The sequence below is a fragment of the Homo sapiens genome, chromosome 10 (genome assembly GCF_000001405.40).
Source record: "Homo sapiens chromosome 10, GRCh38.p14 Primary Assembly".
NCBI classification, from domain to species: Eukaryota; Metazoa; Chordata; class Mammalia; order Primates; family Hominidae; genus Homo; species Homo sapiens.
Genome location: NC_000010.11, coordinates 20065498 through 20080375, shown reverse-complemented (window position 1 = coordinate 20080375; position 14878 = coordinate 20065498). Strand labels below are relative to the sequence as shown.

The following is a 14878-nucleotide window of genomic DNA, read 5'->3' as shown; positions in this document are numbered from 1 at the left end:
CAGTTTGCTGATGGCTTGTTGGGGGACTTCGCCTTTTGATCATGTGAGTCAATACTCCTTGATAAACTCCCCTTCATATATCCATCTATCCTATTAGTTCTTTCCCTCTACAGAACCCTAATACAACCTGCAATCTCAGCTCTCTCATGGGTCTAATAGAAATTGTTGATTTTCAGTTTGTTTAGCTTTTTCTCGATAGAATGAGAGTGACAACCCCCAAATGCTTTATAATAAATACCAGAAACCAGAAGTTCCTGCAATTTCTTTTTAATAAACTGTCTTTGTCATTTGCTCATTGTTTAGTTGTTACAGTTCTCTTTTTCTTAAATGAGCTCTTTATATATTAAGGAGAACAGTCCTTTCACTGTCATATGTGTTTTAAATATTTCCTTTCCCATTTTTTTGTTTCTTGTTTTTTGTTTCTTTTTTTAATTTAAGTTCTGGAATACATGTGCGGAATGTGCAGGTTTGTTACATAGGTATACATGTGCCATGGTGGTTTGCTGCACCTATCAACCCATCATCTAGGTTTTAAGCCCTGTATGCATTAGGTATTTGTCCTAATGTTCTCCCTCCCCTTGTCCCCTACCCCCTGACGGGCCCCATTGTGTGATGTTCCCCTCCCTGTGTCCATGTGTTCTTATTGTTCAACTCCCACTTAGGAGTGACAACATGTGGTGTTTGGTTTTCTGTTCCTGTGTTAGTTTGCTGAGAATGATGGCTTCCAGCTTCATGCATGTCCCTGCAAAGTACATGAACTCACTCTTTTTTATGGCTGCATAGTATTCCATGGTGTATATGTGCCACATTTTCTTTATCCAGTCAATCATTGATGGGCATTTGGGTTGGTTCCAAGTCTTTGCTATTGTAAATAGTGCAGCAATAAACATTCATGTTTATGTAGAATGATTTATAATCCTTTGGAATCGCCACACTGTCTTCCACAATGGTTGAACTAATTTACATTCCCACCAACAGTGTAGAAGCATTCCTATTTCTCCACAGCCTTGCCAGCATTTGTTGTTTTCTCACTTTTTAATAATCACCATTCTAACCAGCATGAGCTGGTATCTCATTGCAGTTTTGATTTGCATTTCTCTAATGACCAGTGATGATGAGCTTTTTTTCATATGTTTGTTTGCCACATAAATGTATTCTTTTGAGAAATATCTGTTCATATCCTTTGCCCAATTTTGATGGAGTTGTTTGATTTATTCTTGTAAATTTGTTTAAGTTCCTTGTAATATTTCCCAGGTTTTACTTCTCTTTTCTTAAGTGAGGGTGTTTAAATGCCATGAATTTTTAATATATGAAAATTTTATTATATGCATTTTTTTCAATATTTTTATTTATGGTTTCTGGGCTTTGTATCAGTCTTAGAAAAATGCTCCCAATCTCAGGATTATAAAATAATTCTTCTCTAGTTTTCTTCTAATGCATTGTTATATTTTATTTTCATGATAAAATAAATCAGGTTAATTTAAATAATATATTTCAAACCTTGTGGAAAATAAGGGAATTCAGAATATAAGAAGCATTAAATACCAGTGGGAGAAATAAACTCTGACAAATAGTGTTAAAACAAATGGGTACCCATCTCTGTTAAAATAAATGGGTAGAAACCAGATTTCTACTCACTCCTTATAATTATTATTACAAGAGGACTGAAATATAAGCAACATTTTTCAACTGAATACTTGGAAACTAGGGAATAGAAACATAAACACAATGTCATCATTTCAAAGCAATCAGTATTAGCTCTTCCTTCCATTGCTGTGTATTTCTAAAAAATTACCATCACAATACACTTACAATATTGTATCTTGATTATTACGATATAACATTCTTTCCCTGCTAACACATAATCTTATAACACTCATTTTTACATACCTAATGTTCCATGACTCTTATTTTTCAAACTGTATAGAAATTGGGAGCACTCAATTATCTCCAAATTATATTATCAGTTATTAGATTTTATTCTATTTTTTTAGAGACAAGATCTTGCTCTGTCACTCTGACTGGAGTGCAGTGGCATAATCGTAGCTAACTACAGCCTTGAACATCTGGCCTCAAGCCATCCTCCTGCCTCAGCCTCCTGAGAAGCTGGGACTACAGAAGCATACCACCATGCCCTGCTAATTTTTAATTTTTTTTTTCTGAAGAGATAAAGTCTCACCGTGTTTTCCAGGCTGGTCTCAAGTTTTATTAGATTCTATCTAATATAAAATAAATAGCTTTAAAAATTTCTGCAAGATAATCTTTAATTATTAAGAGGTAGAAAGGTTAAAAAGAGAGTGTGAGAACAGTAAACCTGGCTTATGAAAATACGTTGGAGTAAAGATTTGAAAAATAGTTGTGTTTTCAAGGCATTTTGGAAGAAACTAGTAAGTTACCTGAAGAGATTACCATGCTTCAAAGAAGAAGAAAAAGAAGGGGAGAAGGAGGAGGAGAAGAAGAACAAGAGAGAAAAAAATGTTTTTTCAGAGCTTAATGACTAAAACTTCATAAACAGTAAATTCATAAATGGCAAATTTTATGCTTTGTGTATTTTGTCACAATTAAAATATTTTTAATGTTTTCACTCTATAATTTACACTTTTGTTTACAAAATCTAATTGCTCTAAATTATCTTAATTTTATATTTTTCTGGAGTCATCTAAAAGTGCTTTGGATTTTCTCTATAAGCTATTAACGAAATTGTGCTTATTTTTAAAATTAGCTGTGGAAATTGACAATAAGCCAATTAAAAGACATTTTCTTCCATTTTCTTTGCCTTCAGGAGAAGCTTCTCATTTGAACAATAATTCTAGCAGATTAAATGAAAATCTCTCTGTAGCCCTCAGGCTAGTCAGATCAACAAAGTAGTCTAACCCCATCGTAACCCCATTAGAATTAGCCAACAAAATATTTAGATCTATTACTTTTTTATGACTATGTCTCAGTTCCAGAGCTATATAGCTCTAAATGAGAGCATATTTTTTACCTACTTTCACATTGTACCAACTGGTTTTCTGTAATGTATTAAAAAATAGAAAAATATCTTGAAAATAAAGGTAGTAATGAAATAATGACTACACATAAAGAAATCTGTTTCCCAGTTCAAAGGCAAAATGTCACATAGAAATTGGACTAACATTTAACTTTGCATTTGGGGTTGGATCTTTAATACATTTTTTAATTGGGTTGTTAGCAATTAAATAAAACTCAAGGCTAAAAGGCTACCTGGCTGCTACCAAGGGGGATGTCCATTCTCATCCCAGTCATCTTACCCTTGATTATCTTTATGCTTTGATGACTTGTCCCTACAATTCTTGCTATAAAAAGGATAGAATGAATACGTGGGTATAATAATATATATGTCGTACTGATTATAATGCTTGTTACCCAGTTATAAACCATGCTGTCACAATTAGAGAAATATTTCGAGATTCTATCGTGTGTTACAAAATTGCTAAATTTTGTAAGGTTTCCAGACAGTGTCCCAGAGTCCCAAAATGTCATCATGGGACAGTCTTTAGAGAGATTCTGAACAGCACCAAAAAATGATAGGTATAGCCATGGTGATCAAGCGGACATCCCAAGTTATTTACATGCTATTCTACTTCCCAGACATCAGTGGTTGAGCCAGCCTTTAATAGGAGCAGTTAGAGATGACAATGGATTAGGTTCCTAAACACTCCTTGAGACCCCTTCTATGCTTTATGGAGAGAAATCTAATGAATGAGGTCATCAAAGGAAACAACAGACAAACTAAAAAGGCAGCACAGGACTTAAAGAGAAAGCACTTTGAAAAGAAATAAAGGAGGAAATGTAAGTGGGGGAAAAATGCAGTATTAGCATATGCTATCTATGTAGCATTTTCTATGAAACAGGTATCATTAACATATGTTAATTAATTTAGTCATCACAACAAATTTATGCACCAGGTATTTTTATTGTGCTATTTTATAGGCAAGGAAACTGACATCAGAGAGATTAAGTCATTTGCTGAAGATCATACAGTTACGATTGCCTTGGCTTATGAACTGAAGTATTCAGATTCAAAAGTCTATTTATCTTAACCTGGAAGCCTAACTTCTTCTCTAAGAAAATGCAACTCAATTTCTGGCTTAAGTAGGAATTGAGGGAACTCTTTTGAACTCATTTCTGAAATGGCCAGGGTCTAATGTCAGTCCTGCACTATTTACTATTTCTTTCCTTTACTTTCCAGGATTCGACAATGTTAGAGCATCTGGCATATATTGTTACTTTATTAATTGCACAGAGTCACTTAGACACCCTTTATTTTCAATTGGGTGATGTATTTCAGGATCTGTGTAAAATTGCTATTTATCTGAATTACTGCTGCAGTGACTAGGAAAGGCTACAAGCAAAAATATCATTGCCAGTGTTTCCAATAAAGCCTGGATGTGCTGGAAGAAGATGAATGATGCTTTCCTGGTATAAACATCCGTAAGGGAGTATTCTAGCACTAGCAATCAGTGGACACTTCAGTGGCTGTTATGGCAATGGAAGGGGATGAGCCTGGAGACCATGTTTTTCACCCACACCCTTGTCTCAGCTGATCCACCTTCCCCCATTCCTGTCCTAAAATCATGACTTATCCATCATGTGCCAATGCTCTGCTCAGTTTTGTTTACATCTAATTGTTCTCCTTCATTCTACCCATATTTCTGTCTCTTGTATTTTTCTTGCTGATTCCTATTGAGTCAACTCTTGCTCCTGGGTGCTTTCTCTCTGGGTCTCCTACTGGCTTAATTTCCAATTATGCTTCCCACCCCTGCCACAAGGAGCCAGTGCTAATGAAATAAAGCATGTATGGACAGACATGCAGGAGAAACAAGTGGTTGTGAATATGAAATTCGTGAAAGACAAAACAACATAGCTTGGCGCAGTGTCTCACACCTGTAATCCCAGCACTTTTGGAGGCTGAGATGGGAGGATTGCTAGAGGCTAGGAGTTTGAGATCAGCCTGGACAACATAATGAGACTCCATCTCTACAAAAAAATCTAAAAATTGGCCAGGCATGGTGGTGCATGCCTGTAGTCCCAGCTATTTGGGGAGCTGAAGTGGGAGGATCACTTGAGCCTAGGAGGTCAAGGCTGCAGTGAGCTGTGATTGTGCCACTGCACTCCAGCTTGGGTGACAGAGTGAGATCCTGTCTACAAAATAAAGAAATAAATATATAATAATGGTCAAGCTACTGAATCTACTGCTGACACTAGACAGTTTGAGGGAGGAGTAAGTTATCAAAGAAGACAGCTCAGATGAACTCTCAGGTTTTTGGAGGTCTATCTCAGAGAATTATTCAGATTCAGCAGATCAGACATCACGCAATTCATCTTTCTCTCTAGGAATCCTTGAGACTTGAGTTTGTAACTTTAAATCATTGAAGCAAGTTGGAATGAATTTACTTTCATCCAGCATCTATCTCTTTAGTATCTTCCATAACACATAGATCTCCAGATTACCATAACCTGTGATCTCTGTTAATAATAATAATAATACAAAACAACTCCATTCACCTTCTCCCTAGATGCAGAAAGTTAATGGATACACCATGCTTTGTTTTATGGGGTTATACACTTGAAAGAAGATGTTGTTGGTATTTACAAATCAATCATCATGAGTAATAACTATCTTCCTCTCCTAAAAAGCCTTTTATTCCTGTTATTAATCAAGTCCCTATAAAGAGTATGAAATATTATTTGGGACTACAATTAAAATATTACCATTTGAAAGCCAGAACAAAAAAGGAGCAGGGAGATTTGGTAATATATTTCCTGAAAAGCTAATGAAGATAAAATGCATTAATATTTTTAAAAAATCTCTCTTAGTGGGAATTTAAACAGAAAAAAAGCTAATGATTATTGGCCAGATATAGGAAACTACTCTAAGTTTGAATTTTAATATACCATACCTCAAAAAGTAAGGTATTTTTTTTTGGGAGGGAAACTGGTGAACTAAGAGACAAAGGAAGAAGGGAGATTTACATTTTACTTTTGCCTGTTTGACTTGTTAAATGTCCACGTTATTAGTTTTTCAGATATGTACAGGTATTACTTAATAAACATTTTAATCTTTTACGTAGCAAATGAAATAAAATAGAGCTAAAATTTAAACAGCTTTCTTATGAAATCTGTAAGTAGAAACCTGTGTAGAAAGGGAAGGCAAATTCTTCCTATGATCAAGGTAAGTAATACACATTCATTATTAGCTTTTAAATTCATATCACCTTTGCTTTTCAATCTCATATTCAACTTCCCACAATTCCACATATTATCTTAATTAAGAACCACCATCTGTCTACATACTTACATTCTGGGGCCAAAATTATCTGTATAATGTTACCTCTTCTCTTCCCCTTTACATAAAGTTGTAATTAACCCATCTCACATGCTCCCATCTCATCACTGTAATGGTACCCATGACGGACTCAGGTAAAAACATCATTCCTAGTGATAGCTATTTGATTACAAATCAAATCCTCAAACTTAAATCTACATTTTTGAACATTTAAAAGATCACACTAGCAGGCTAATAATAAAAAAGAACCAATTAAAATATTGAAATAGAAAGAAAATAATGTAGTGTGATATGCAAAAAACACATCTTGGTGGTATCACTAATGAAACTGTTTTGATGAAATTCACAGAGAACTAGGTTTCTAGTGCCTGAAATATTTGTATTCTGAAGTATTTTTGACATAGAAAGATAAATGAATGCTTTCAGATTCCACTATCAGTGAACCAGAAAATAAAGATGATATTTCCAATTCACTTTGTACATAAGGATGATTGAAGCTTTTGAATATTAAAATGCTTAATAGGCAAAGATTCTATTTTTATAGTTTATAAATGACCAGATGTTTAGCTATAATTCACATTTTAAACTAGAAACTTAAGCTTATTCGTAGTAAAATACATACAACATACAAAGAGGGGCTGTGGAACGATGTATATGTCTATATTGTTAAACAACTTTCCATTTTTAAATTGTGCTGACCTTAGCAATAACATGAGACATTATCTTGACTTAATTTCAATGTTAAATTTGTGTCTGTGTGGAGAGAGATAGATTTCAAGGAAATAAGGGAAATGGCAAAACAATGAAGTAAGATGAAGAGGATTGTGGTTTAAAGCATTCCCTTTATTTATTTGCACAGCATGGATTCACCATGAAAACATATCACTTTAATTTTTCCCACACCCAATGTAGAAACAGGTTCAAGAGGAATTTGTAAACACAAAAAGAACTGACAGTCAACAAAAGAAGCATCTTTTGTGTTTCTACTTAAAACTCCCAGCCCAGGTCTATTTAGAATGGCCTGTAGTCAACTTTATTTAACCTGACTTGTGGTTTCCATTTTCCGTCCAAGCCTTCCATGGTTAAGAACATTTTTAAGATTTGTAAGGCTGACAAGCATCTGTCAAATAGGACTATCTGATTATAGTATCTGTCTAGTCAATCACGGAAGAGATCCATCAAAAGTCTATGGTTCAGAAGTCCTTGAAGCTGTTCTTAGCTTGATTCACTGCATCCTAGTGGATCCTTTTGTCTGGAAGTCTTTCCAACCACAGTGATTTAACAACTCAAATGATGTGTTTTGCACTGGCTCCATGTGTGTTTTCCCACTGCACCCATCCTAGTTCAGACACTGTATCCCACAAGCAAGTATTCAAACAACTGGTAACTATTTTTTCTGCCTTCACCCCCTTCACCCTAACCTGCCTTCCACTGACAGATCAGGCCAGATCTACTTCTCTAAGAAACCCAATGCTTGCTGGATGTCATCTAGATTTCTTCCTTTCTTTCCTTTTCTTTCTTTCTTTCTTTCTTTCTTTCTTTCTTTCTTTCTTTCTTTCTTTCTTTCTTTCTCTTTCTTTCTTTGTTCCTTCTTTCTTTCTTTCTTCTTTTTCTTTCTTTCCTTCTTTCTTCTTTCTTTCTCTCTTTCTTTCCTCTTTCTTTCTTCTTTCTTTCCTCTTTCTCTCTTTATTTTTTTTGATAGAGTTTTGCTCTTGTTGCCCAGGCTGAAGTGCAATGGTGCTATCTTGGCTGCCCACAACCTCCTCCTCCAGCGTTCAAGCGATTCTCCTGTCGCCGCCTCCTGAGTAGGTGGGATTACAGGCATGTGCCACCATGCCCGGCTAATTTTGTTTTTTTCAGTAGAGATGGGGTTTCTCCACGTTGGGCAGTCTAGTCTCAAACTCTGGACCTCAGGCGATCCAAACTCTGGACCTCAGGTGATCCGCCCACCTCGGCCTCCTAAAGTGCTGAGATTACAGGCATGAGCCACCATGACCGGCAAGATTTCTAACGTTCAAAGTACTCCACAACATTCTTCCCAACTCCCCTTCACTAGACTCATTCCAACCCTCTCTTCAGGATAAACTAATTTAGTTGACAGCCCTCCAAATATACCCAATATGGTTTCAGCACTGTCATTTAACTCAGCATCCCCTTGTCTGGAATGCCTCTTCCTTCTCCACTTCTTCTCAACTGCCTCTTTGCCTACTAAAATTCTACCTTCCTCTAAGGCCAATGCCAAAGATTATCACTTTCCCAGACTCTTCTTAATTGACTGGCCCAACAAGCATGATCTCCTTTTTCAGCAAGCTCCTGCTCTTTCAGCACCTGCAGTCAGCCTTCTCTATTGCTTATTCGCAGCATGCCTGTATTAGTCTTTTCTCATGGCATACCCAAGACTGGGTAATTTATAAAGGAAACAGGTTTAATGGACTCACAGTTGTACATGGCTGGGGAGGCCTCACAATCATGGCAGAAAGCAAAGGAGGAGTAAAGGCATGTCTTACATGGTGGCAAGCAAGAGAGGGTGTGTGCAGGGGAACTCCCCTTTATAAAATCATCAGATCTCCTGAGACTTATTCACTAATCATGAGAACAGCACAGGAAAGACCTGCCCCCATGATTCAATTACCTCCCACGTGGTCCCTCCCACAACATATGGGAATTACGGGAGCCACAGTTTAAGATGAGATTTGATTGGGGACACAGCCAAACCATATCAACACCCCTTCCTCTTTTTTGACTCTAAGCTCCTGAACTTAGCTTATCCTTCTCTGTATATAATGACGCATCTTGTGCTTTGTGTTTTCTAGGGGCTCAAGAAACACTGATTGAATGAAATGAACAAAGAAAGAGCAAGCAAGCTATGTATTTTGCTGGAACCTTTTACATGAGACTCAGGTTTCATTTTGAAGACACCCAGGTCAATGTGTAGATTATCTTGACTCTGCCTCTTTAAATAGAGCACAGATTGTTATATGCAAGTTGCGTGCTAGTGTGTTTTAAGTAGAGAAACAAAAGGAGTGTCTTTACATTAGTGTTTTCTTCAAAGAAGATAGAGATCATTCAGGATGCTAGGTTTTTTTTTTTTCACTTATTTTGAGGATCTTTACAAAGGAAAATGGCACTTTGAAATCGCAAGGATGATGTAGCTATCTGGTTGGGTTTGATCCTGCCAGTTCCGCTAGGAGAAATCTTACTTCATATTGGCTGAATTGCTGACATGAGTTTTAAAGATAAAACAATTTGAGAAATTGAAAATGCAAAGCTGTCATTATTTTTACACTGTGTGTACACATTTTAAGCACATATGGTTCATAGTTAACTTTTTGAAAAATTCAATAGAACACTGTTCACCTAAATTTCAGAAAACATGCCTAATGTCGGTATTTTAGAATCACCATATTTCTATTATATTTTATGACATGAGTGGACAGGATATGATTCATGGCTTATTGGGGCCACCTTTCAATTTTCCTCTTCCCTTTTCATTTAACCCTTCAACAAAATTAATTAAATGCCTGGCACTATACTGGATATATCCGATGAGGTCAAAAGACATACTTCTTGTGAGCAATTTCATTTAGATATATTCCTTTTTATTTTCACACAAAATTTAAGTTTCACTATTGAAGTCACTGGTTCTCCCTAAAGCCAGTGTTTCTTGACTCTGTATTTGGTACCAATAGTATGATTCCTTTTCCTTGGGTTGAAGCAACAAAATCACCAAGGGCTTCAATATTTTTCACACAAATAGTTGCAATATTCTTCCAGTTAAATGTACTAACTTCAGTCTTTCTACACTTTAATGTATTATACACACATCTATATTCATCTTCTTAAAGTTTATTACTTAAGGACTAATGACTCGAACTATCCCTTATGGCATTTTGTAAAATTGTCCCAACCTACTTTTCCAATCTTAACATGCCACATTTTTTGGTAAAGATACCATTGACATAACTCAAACTCAATTATTTACTATCCCAAATATACCCTACCATTCTCCTCATCTGTATATTTACTCAGGATCTTCCTCTCTGTGATCCTCTCTTCCTTCTCTACACAACCGTAGAAATTCTGACATCCTCAAGAAAAACTTTGAACAACAATTTTTCTATAGTCTTAAACAACTCTCACTTGAAACTCATAGATGTCTCAGTTATATCATCCCTGGAAACCCATAGCTTATCATTTGTATTTTCTTTTTCTGGTTTTCATTTGTTTTTTCTTTAGAGACAGGGTCTTGCTCTGTTGCCCAAGCTGTAGTGCAGTGGTGTGGTCATAGCTCACTGCAGCCTCAAACTCCTGGCCTCAAGTGATCCTCCTGCCTCAACCCCTCAAGTAGCTGAGACTACAGATGCATGCCATCATACCAGCTAATTATTTCATTTTATTTATTTTATTTTCAGAGATAGAGTCTTGCTCTGTCAGCCAGGCTATAGTGCAATGGCATGACCATAGCTCGGTGCAGCCTCAAACTCCTGGCCTCAAGTGGTCCTCCTGCCTCAGCCTCCTGAGTAGCTGGGACTACAGGAGCACCCCACCATGGTTAATTTTTTAAATGTTTTTGTAGATATAGGGTCTCACAGTGTTGCCCAGGCTTGTCTTCAACTCCTGGGCTCAAGCGATCCTCCCACCTGAGCTTCCAAAGTAGCTACAGGTATGAGCCACTGCACCTGGGCATATTTCATCATTTGTATTTCCTAAGCAATTCCCCATATTCTCCTTCACTTTGCCTAATATTCCACTAAGCTACACACCTCTAAGGCAGTGGTAGACTTATTTACCATCACTCAGAGTTGGTGCTCAAAAAACTTCCAGTTACTTGTTGATATTTCTGATTACAAATCTTCTTCTGAATCCTAAATATCTTCTAGGTCTTATATTAAAGTATGGCAAAAAATGGCAATACTTAACATGGTCTCCACACCATCCAGAAGACCCCTGGTAAGATTCAGTGAAGGAAAGAGACTCTGTCTATGGTGCTTTGGGCATAGATGCTCACAGCCTCTTTGTACACCTATGGAATTTCTTTCAATTACTTCTTTACTTACTGTTCCATTTTTATGTGTTTTTCTCCTTCTTCCCTACCCCTGCATCATAAAGCCTACAGGGATATTCCCTGGCATTTTCCTTATCGCTTCTAGTAGCGCTTGAAGACTAAAATATTTCTGACTTCTGAGATGTACAATAAAGAATGATAATTACTTTGCTAGGATATTGCTAATCTCTAAACTAACCTCCAAGCTTGTGGAGAAAAATAAAATTTTAAAAATTTGAGCTGGATTTCAGCTTTATTTGAAGACTCTCAAATGAGTTGTCAATCAAAATAGGTAACACTCAAGGAAAAAAAATGATCAAAGCTAATGCACATATGGTTGTGTGTTTTTGTGTATATATATATGTGTGTAAGTGCATATATATGTAAATATATATTATATATATATAATATATATATAGCAACTATATACATTAAAAGAAAATTTAAGATCACCAGCAGTTTCATTAAGCAGCCTTTCCTTCTATCTCTATTCCAATTTCTGCCATTTGGACAGTCTTACCACACTACCAAAAATGAATTAAAATTTAGAAGAAAAGCAGAGGTGATCTAGGTTGAAAATTATTATAAATACTTTTTTTGTCTGCTGAGAAGTTTTTCCAATAACCATACCCTTTCTTTGGTTTTATTTATACCTATGACTTTGTGATAAAACACAATGGTTTTCTCAATAAATATCCATCTTGAAATATAGAGTAACTTAAAAATAATAACTGCAGTCAAACCATAGATTACTTAAGGTGAATGGGTAGAAAACCACTTACCCCCGGTTGCCACAGTGATTTCACGTAGGAAGTGGCCATAAAATGGAAAATCGAAGGACAGATTCACTCTCTGCAAAGAACAACACCAGAGAAAAAAATCAATAATGTGTAGCATAGTCAATGTGAAATGAAGAGCCTTTCACTTAAAACAAAAATGATGCTTCTACTTTACCCCATAATTATTGTAGTTCTCTTTTAAAACCTGAGTCCTCGGTCGTACTAAAGAATATTTTTTCTGGTAATTAAAGTTTTGAAGTATGTGAAAAGAATAAAGTTAACATCACCACGGCATTTTAGTTGTCCACTGAATAATCAGTTCATTCTTGATGATGAGCAACTTATTCTGAGGTTCTTTTTAGTTTGACTAGTTCCTCCAAAATAGTAGAGCATGTTAGGTCAAGATTCATTGGATTAAAAATCAAAATAGATTTTATGTTACATTATTACATTTTTAATTTGTTTTCTATACATCCCATAATGAAAAGCAGTTTCACGGAAGAAGATGTCTTGCACTGGTGGATCTAGACCTGCAGAATTTTTTTTTTTTTTTTTGAGTCGGAGTTTCTCTGTTTTGCCCAGGCTGGAGTGAAGTGACGCAATCTCGGCTCACTGAAACCTCTGCCCACCTGGGTTCAAACAATTCTCCTGCCTCAACCTCCCAAGTAGCTGGGATTACAGGTGCCAGCCACCATGCCAGACTAATTTATTGTATTTTTAGTAGAGATGGGGTTTCGCCATGTTGGCCGGGCTGGTCTCGAACTCCTGACCTTAGGTGATCCACCTGCCTCAGCCTCCCAAAGTGCTTGGATTACAGGCGTGAGCCACCATGCCCGGCTGACCTGCAGACATTTTCATGTTTCAAATACAATCAGCTCTCCAAATTTAGCATATTGTGTCCACTCTTAGAAACACAAGAGTTCTAGGATAAATAATATTGGTTACTGGAGACCTACTTTTACTTGGTTTGGAGTAAATTACAGAGACTCAGGGAGAAAGTTCCTGGATTGCACCCTTTGTTTTCCTAAAATGGGGCCACGAACTTTAGCTCTTAATATTTAACTCAACAGGTATATAGTGTCTATTTTTTTAAAAAATAAATATTAAAATGTTAAAACCCAAAACATATTAAAAATCCTAATCTTTTTTATATGTTTGAAATGATATTAAGTAGATATATTATTATCAGGCAAGAAACAAGAGAAACACTAAAAGTAATGGCAAAAACCGCAATTACTTTTGCACCAACCTAATATAATACAGATGATCAACTGAAATAAAAGTATCCAGAAGGAAAGTAATTAGCTGGTTGAGAGCCCAACAGCACACATGTACAAACTACCTATAATAACAGGCTATTACATTAAAATTCCACAATTGCTATATTATATCTCTCCCAATACACAAATTTTTAATGTAGAAAAGTATATCTAGATTGAATTTAGCTTTTTCCCATTTTGCAAATAATTGCTTTTTTATAGCCATCACGATTTCTAATTACTTATTTGGCATGAAATTAATCACTCAAAATTTAAAGCGACTTTCAATTAGGTTTTCTTTTTAATGCAAGCCTCATCTTCATAAAAGGTTTATGATCACTTTTATTTTGTGCTGACTAACAGGAACAACAAAACTCATTTTCACAGAGCTAACTGAAATAAGTGGTCACTAAGAACCCTAAAATGAAGGAAGAGTTCAATGGCAGGATCATTTATCTCAAAGATGTAAGGAATAATTTTATAAAAGCACTTGCTTATTATATTGTTTTCCATCATTCTAATTTATTTCCATGCTTATCAGTAAATTGGTAAAATTTACCTTATGCATTCTCACTTTCAGAGTCAGAGTTTGATTTAAACATGTATCTCTAATGAACCCTATCAATTACCACCAAATATCAACCAAAACGCTATGACATGAGTTTCTCAGCCACTGCAAGTATTCAAATATGTTTGGAATTAGATTAAGATATAAGTTAAAGACCTTTTCTTGAGGACAAATAGATCTTCAAAGGGAATTTGCAAATGCTTCAAGAATTCTGAAGAGCAACACCAGTGACTGAAATGCTCCCCTATTGAAATGACCAGTTTTCCTTAGTTACCACTATCGTCTGCTTCACTCTGATATGGAATCATGATGGCAATCTAGGAAGATACTGTCTGCTAAACAGTTGTGTAATCCATTCATTTCTTGCCAGTCGCTACTGATACTCTTCTCCAAACATCGGTCACTATCATTGCAATAACTTCCTCAGAAGTGTCATGGCTCTACTTCTCTTTAAATTCATTCTCTAAGCCGGGGCCTCAACTCCCAGGCCACAGGCCATGACCTGTTAGGAACTGGGCTACACAGCAGCAGGTGAGCAGCAGGCAACCCAGGGAAGCTTCGTCAGTATTTACAGCCACTCCCCATGGCTTGCGTTACCACCTGAGCTCTGCCTCCTGTCAGATCAGCACTGGCAGCATTAGATTCTCATAGGAGCGTGAGCCCTATTGTGAACTGCACATGCGAGGGATCTAGGTTGCATGCTCCTTATGAGATCTGATTCCTGATGATCCATCACTGTCATCCATTACCCTCAGATGGGACCTTCTAGTTACAGGAAAACAAGCTCAGGACTCCCACTGATTTTATATTATGGTGAGTTGTATAATCATTTCACTATATATTATAATGTAATAATAATAGAAATAAAGTGCACGATAAATGCAATGTGCCTGAATCATCCCAAAACCATCCCCTCCT

General features: G+C 36.2%; 1 protein-coding gene across 3 annotated transcripts in view; it reads right to left on the bottom strand.

Annotated features, from left to right (window-relative positions):
- PLXDC2 (plexin domain containing 2) overlaps positions 1-14878 on the bottom strand; it is a 473425-nt gene that overhangs the window by 209481 nt on the left and 249066 nt on the right. For all 3 annotated transcript variants that reach the window (NM_032812.9, NM_001282736.2, XM_011519750.3), the window contains one exon: positions 12137-12206. In NM_032812.9, the coding sequence (NP_116201.7) occupies positions 12137-12206 (70 nt within the window). The remainder of the gene's footprint in view (positions 1-12136; positions 12207-14878) is intronic.